Source organism: Homo sapiens, chromosome 10 (genome assembly GCF_000001405.40).
Source record: "Homo sapiens chromosome 10, GRCh38.p14 Primary Assembly".
NCBI lineage: Eukaryota > Metazoa > Chordata > Mammalia > Primates > Hominidae > Homo > Homo sapiens.
This window is the reverse complement of record NC_000010.11, coordinates 55,894,240-55,901,174: the sequence shown is the minus strand read 5'-3', so window position 1 is coordinate 55,901,174 and position 6,935 is coordinate 55,894,240. Positions and strand designations below refer to the sequence as shown.

Sequence of the window (6,935 nt, the reverse complement as noted above, 5' to 3'; positions counted from 1 at the left end):
TCAAGGAGTATCTTTGTGGCTTTCTCTGTATTTCCTGAATCTGAACGTTGGCCTGCCTTGCTAGATTGGGGAAGTTCTCCTGGATAATATCCTGCAGAGTGTTTTCCAACTTGGTTCCATTCTCCCCATCACTTTCAGGTACACCAATCAGACGTAGATTTGGTCTTTTCACATAGTCCCATATTTCTTGGAGGCTTTGCTCGTTTCTTTTTATTCTTTTTTCTCTAAACTTCCCTTCTCGCTTCATTTCATTCACTTCATCTTCCATCGCTGATACTGTTTCTTCCAGTTGATCGCATCAGCTTCTGAGGCTTCTGCATTCTTCATGTAGTTCTTGAGCCTTGGTTTTCAGCTCCATCAGCTCCTTTAAGCACTTCTCTGTATTGGTTATTCTAGTTATACATTCTTCTAAACTTTTTTCAAAGTTATCAACTTCTTTGCCTTTGGTTTGAATTTCCTCCCATAGCTCGGAGTAATTTGATCATCTGAAGCCTTCTTCTCTCAGCTCGTCAAAGTCATTCTCCATCCAGCTTTGTTCCGTTGCTGGTGAGGAACTGCGTTACTTTGGAGGAGGAGAGGCGCTCTGCTTTTTAGAGTTTCCAGTTTTTCTGCTCTGTTTTTTCCCCATCTTTGTGGTTTTATCTACTTTTGGTCTTTGATGATGGTGATGTACAGATGGGTTTTTGGTGTGGATGTTCTTTCTGTTTGTTAGTTTTCCTTCTAACAGACAGGACCCTCAGCTGCAGGTCTGTTGGAGTACCCTGCTGTGTGAGGTGTCAGTGTGCCCCTGCTGGGGGGTGCCTCCCAGTTAGGCTGCTCGGGGGTCAGGGGTCAGGGACCCACTTGAGGAGGCAGTCTGCCTGTTCTCAGATCTCCAGCTGCGTGCTGGGAGAACCACTGCTCTCTTCAAAGCTGTCAGACAGGGACATTTAAGTCTGCAGAGGTTACTGCTGTGTTTTTGTTTGTCTGTGCCCTGCCCCCAGAGGTGGAGCCTACAGAGGCAGGCAGGCCTCCTTGAGCTGTGGTGGGCTCCACCCAGTTGGAGCTTCCTGGCTGCTTTGTTTACCTAAGCAAGCCTGGGCAATGACAGGCGCCCCTCCCCCAGCCTCGCTGCCGCCTTGCAGTTTGATCTCAGACTGCTGAGCTAGCAATCAGCGAGACTCCGTGGGCGTAGGACCCTCCGAGCCAGGTGCGGGATATATTCTCCTGGTGCGCCATTTTTTAAGCCCGTCGGAAAAGCGCAGTATTCGGGTGGGAGTGACCCGATTTTCCAGGTGCTGTCTGTCACCACTTTCTTTGACTAGGAAAGGGAGCTCCCTGACCCCTTGTGCTTCCCAAGTGAGGCAATGCCTCGCCCTGCTTCAGCTCGCACATGGTGCGCGCACCCACTGACCTGCGCCCAGTGTCTGGCACTCCCTAGTGAGATGAACCCGGTACCTCAGATGGAAATGCAGAAATCACCCGTCTTCTGCATCGCTCACGCTGGGAGCTGTAGACCGGAGTTGTTCCTATTCAGCCATCTTGGCTCCTCCCGAAAGAAGGTATTTCTAAGACAGAAATATTTATCACATATGGCTTTTTTTTCTTGCTATTTCATTTTTACTATTTCCTTGCTGCAGTGTAGACATAATGCCAGAAGTTTTATCAAATATCTAGAACCAGCTACAAAATTTGCATTACCCAGTACAAATAAAAATGTGGGACTCTTGTTTAAAAATCAGGGGAAAATGTTTAGATAAATATAAAATATTTCGTGAAAATACTTTGTTACTTTAAAATTTGATATGGGGGTAAAGTAATATATAAGTAACAATATAATGACAGAAAATCATATTACAAAGGACAAAAAAATTATGTCATTCATAACTTTTATAACAATAAATAATAATGGTCTGTTAATGTGACATTTGATTGATTATATGATTCTTTGGACTAAATTTTCTGCAAATCAATTTACTTTGTCTTCTAAATATATACTTTAGCAATTTCATTTTTAAGCAGTATAGTTGAAAGTGATGCCAGTTTCTTTGGACAAATGCAAGATCCAGATAATATTTATAATTTCTAATTTTGGAAAGGATTTTTATGCTAATGCAATTGGTACTGTAACTCTTAAGTGTATTTTATAGAATGTAAAAATTTGTGGATAAGGTTCTGGTAAATTAGCTTAAAATATATATTTTAGCATATCTGGAGATGATGACACTAATAGAACTTTTTTTTTCTAAAAATATTTAAGTCTTCAAATAAATTATTTTGGGGTAATTGTAAATTTAATTTTAAATATTAGTTTATAAAATGGCATTTTATTGTTTTCTTTGCTATTTTCTGTAACTTTCTAGCTAGTGTAACTGTTTTGTTTACAAGTTGCTCATTGCCCTCTGTGCCTAGGGTCTGAGCCTCTGTGTACACAGCCACACATCAAATCCCCTCTACTCATGCACGTGCTTTATTTTCTCATGGAATTCACTTACAAAGTGCAGGTTCAAAGAAAAAATTGTTAAAAATTTCAAAAGGGGGTTGATATGGTTTGGCTGTGCCCCTGCACAAATCTCGACTTGAATTATATCTTCCAGAATTCCCACGTGTTGTGGGAGGGATCTGGCAGTAGGTAATTGAATCATAGGGGCAGCTCTTTCCTGTGCTCTTCTCATGATAGTGAATAAGTCTCACGAGATCTGATGAGTTTATCAGGGGTTTCCTCTTTTGCTTCTCCTCATTCTCTCTTGCTACCTCCATGTAAGAAGGGTCTTTCACCTCCTACCATGATTCTAAGGCCTCCACAGCTGTGTGGAACAGTAAGTCCAATTAAACCTCTTTTTTCTTCCCAGACTCAGGTATGTCTTTCTCATCAGTGTGAAAATGGAATAATACAGTAAATTGGTACCGGGAGTGGGTCACTGCTAAAAAGATACCTGAAAAATGTGAAAGCAACTTTGGTACTGGGTAGCAGGCAGAGATTGGAACAGTTTGGCAGGCTCAGAAGAAAACAGGAAAATATAAGAAAGTTTGGAACTTCATAGAGACTTGTTGAATGACTTTGACAAAAATGCTCATGGTGATATGAACAATAAGGTCCATGCTCAGGTGGTCTCAAAGGGAGATGAGAAACTTGTTGGGAACTTGAGCAGAGGTGACTCTTGTTATGTTTTAGAAAAGAGTCTGGCGGCATCTTGCTCCTGCCCTAAAGATTTGTGGAACTGTAAACTTCAGAGAGATGATTTAGGGTATCTGGCAGAAAAAAAATTCTAAGCAGCAAAGCATTCAAGAGGTGACTTGGGTGTTGCTAAAACCATTCAGTTTTAAAAGGGAAACAGAGCATAAAAGTTTGGAAAATTTACAGCCTGACACTGTGAGAGAAAAGAAAAACCCATTTGCAGTGGAGAAATTCAAACTGGCTGCAAAAATTTGCATAAGCAGCAAGGAATGTAATGTTAATCTCCAAGAGCATGTGGAAAATGTCTCCAGGCCATGCCAGAGGCCTTCACAGCAGCCCCTCCCATCACAGGCCCCGAGGTCCAGGGGGAAAATGTCATTTCATGGGCCAGGTCCGGGGTCCCCATGCTGTGTGCAGCCTAGGGACTTGGTGCCCTGTGTCCCAGCTGCTCCAGCCATGGCTGAGAGGGGTCAACATACAGCTCAGGCTGTGGCTTCAGGGTGGAAGCCCCATGCCTTGGCAGCGTCCATGTGCTGTTGAGCCTGCAAGTGCACAGAAGTCAAGAATTGAGTCTTGGAACCTCCACCTAGATTTTAGAAGATGTATGGAAATGCCTGGATGCAAAAGTTTGCTGCAGGGGCAGGGGCCTCAGGGAGAACCTCTGCTAGGGCAATGCAGAAGGGAAATGTGGGGTGGGAGACCCCACACAGAGTCCTTACTAGGGCACTGCCTAATGGAGCTGTGAGAAGAGGGTCACCATTCTCTGCACCCCATAATGGTAGATACACTGACAGCTTACACTGTGGACCTGGAAAAGCCACAGACACTAAATGCCAGCCCCGTGAATTTAGCCATGAGGAAGACTGTACCCTGCAAAGTCACAGGGGCGGAGCTGCCTAAGACCATGGAAACCTACCTCTTGCATTAGTGTGACCTGAGTGTGAGACCTGAGGTCAAAGGAGATCATTTAGGAACTAGGAGATCATTTTGGAGCTTTAAAATTTGACTGCCGTGCTGGATTTCAGACTTGCATGGGCCCTGTAATCCCTTTGTTTTGGCCAATTTCTCCCATTTGGAGTGGTTATATTTACCCAATACCTGTACCCCCATTTTATGTAGGAAGTAACTAGCTTGCTTTTGATTTTACAGGCTCATAAGCAGAAGAGATTTGCCTTGTCTCAGATGAGACTTTCGACTATGGAATTTTGGGTTAATGTGGAAATGAGTTAACACTTGGGGGGAGTGTTGGGAAGGCATGATTGGTTTTGAAATGTGAGGACATGAGATTTGGAGGGCCCAGGGATGGAATGATATGGTTTGGCTGTGCCCCCAACCAAATCTCAATTTGAATTGTATCTCCCAGAATTCCAACATGTTATGGGAAGTACCGGGGGGGAGGTTATTGAAACATGGGGCCTAGTCTTTCCTGTACTATTCTCGTGATAGTGAATACGCCTCAGGAGATCTGATGGGTTTATCAGGGGTTTCTTCTTTTGCTTCTCCTCATTCTTTCTTGTTGCTGCCATGTAAGAATTGCCTTTTGCCTCCCATCATGATTCTGAGCCCTCCCCAGCAATTAAACCTTTCTTCCCAGTCTCAGGTATGTCTTAGTAGTGTGAAAATAGACTAATACAGGCATTAAACCAAGAACAAAGTTTCTTCTGAGTGTAGGGACTTCTCTGATTACATAAGAGGTTTAACCCATAAAGTTGACCTTGCGAATATTTTTGTCATAAAAATGTATATATTTAAGGTACACAATGTGATATTTTGATATACATGTACATTGTAAAATGATATCTATAGTCAAGGTCATTAACTTATCCATCTTCTCACATAGTCACAATTATGTGGGTGTGTGTGGTGAGAACACTTCAGAGCTACTCTCTTACCAAATTTCAAATATACAATACAGTATTATGAACTATAGTCACAGATATTTTTAAAGCACAGTGGGAGAGAGTCACATGCTAATATTAATGGAGCTGAAAGTAGAATTTGGGGTCCTTGAAGTAACAATGGAGTCACAATGCCACTCTCCACAGCTAATCCTTGCCTTTTAATTAGGTCATAAACAAACAAACAAAGAAAAGAAATAAATAACTAAATGATTAAACTACTCTTTTTATTGTATTTTTTGCATTGAATATATTACTAACAGCCACTGAATGAATTATCCAGATTAATTACACTAATTAACTATATTGTGTTGTGCCAAGTAACAGATTTTAAAATACAGAATGGGTGGTCAATAAGAGATTGGGCTCTAGGCATTTGTTAACTTTACTATTAAAGTCTCAAGTGCTGGTCAGCTTTTTGATGCACATGTAAACTCTTCAAACATTTCAGAAAAACTTTCATACAATGACCATTGAGCCACAGACTATGTGCTGACTGAGCTGCAGTATTAGGAGTAAAACAAAGACCATTGAGCCACAGACTATGTGCTGACTGAGCTGCAGTATTAGGAGTAAAACAAAGAAGTAAATCAGAATTGCCTTCTTATTTATTTTATTGATTTCATCCAAGCATTGTGTGAAAGAAAAAAACAACATCATATGAGGAACAGTCACTTTACCAGCAGAGAAGGAAAGGAAAACCACTTTGTTAAACACTCAAGTTGTGAAGGAACACTCAATCACTGGCATACAATAAAAATTCAGTGTGATTTCTTTGTAAACTTTAATGGTTCAACAATATTGCCTCTGTATGCCAAATAGAAGTTGTTATAAGCAGCTGTGATGAGACACCGTTTACAGGAAAAAAAAAAGTTTATGATCTAAAGCCTCTCTCTAGCACTTTCAATCAAGATTTATCTGCTTAAATGGGATGTTTCAGCCATAATGAAATAAAAAATGATAATTCTCCAATTTGATGCTGTCGTTTTCAATTCCCTCCATGGAATGATTATTTACTTAAAGCCTACGGGGGTGAGGGTAGAAGAAAAACAGACATTGCCTAGACAACATTTCTACCTGTGGTTACTAATCAAAGAAATTGGCCGGAAGTAAATGAGTAGGACATTTACTACGTTTCTGATGAAAGTGCACTGCTAAAGAAACACTGAAAACTGCTAGAAAGTGTTCGTAAGGCTTCAATTCCCAGGTCATTTGCTGGAACACTGAACTCAATGCAACAAGGAATAGAGAAAACTGCTGTGCATCCATGAAAGGCATTTCCTTATGGTCCATCTCAAATGTGGCCATGGAGAAAAATACAAAATGAGGTTTGTCCCAAAGAAGAGATCCAGGAGCTGTGAAGGAGATGGGGACAAAAAAAAGAAAAAAAAAATCATTCCATAGATCAGAACCAGAGACAGAGCCACCCAAGAATTTGACTCCTCTGCCAAAATGAGGAAGAAGCAAAAGCAGAAACCCCTGATAAACCTATCAGATCTTGTGAGACTTATTCATTGTCACAAGAATAGCATGGGAAAGACAGGCCCCCATGATTCTATAACTTCCCCCTGGATCCCTCCCACAACGTGTGGGAATTCTGGGAGATACAATTCAAGTTGAGATTTGGGTTGGGACACAGCCAAACCATATCAATCAGTTTCATTTTTTGCCTGGTAGTAAAAATTCACCACCCCAGACTGGCTTGCATATAGAACAGGTCATGAGACACAGTTCTGGTCAAGGAGATGTAAGGAGTTACAAGGTGGGGCTCCAAGCTGAAAAAGTAAGGAATTGGTCCTGTTGACTTGCTCCTGTTATCCTTTCTTTTCCCCATCAGCCTCAGCCTTCTCCTATCTTAATTAAAAGCTTGATGTCTAATG

General features: G+C 41.4%; 2 annotated features.

Annotated features, from left to right (window-relative positions):
* Positions 732-1,306: an enhancer, noted in NCBI's record as "NANOG-H3K27ac hESC enhancer chr10:57659629-57660203 (GRCh37/hg19 assembly coordinates)". NCBI's record gives its function as "activates a minimal SCP1, AML or CMV promoter by ChIP-STARR-seq in naive H9 embryonic stem cells {active_cell/tissue: H9 hESC(naive)}" and the evidence as "EXISTENCE:reporter gene assay evidence [ECO:0000049][PMID:30033119]".
* Positions 1,307-1,882: an enhancer, noted in NCBI's record as "H3K27ac hESC enhancer chr10:57659053-57659628 (GRCh37/hg19 assembly coordinates)". NCBI's record gives its function as "activates a minimal SCP1, AML or CMV promoter by ChIP-STARR-seq in naive H9 embryonic stem cells {active_cell/tissue: H9 hESC(naive)}" and the evidence as "EXISTENCE:reporter gene assay evidence [ECO:0000049][PMID:30033119]".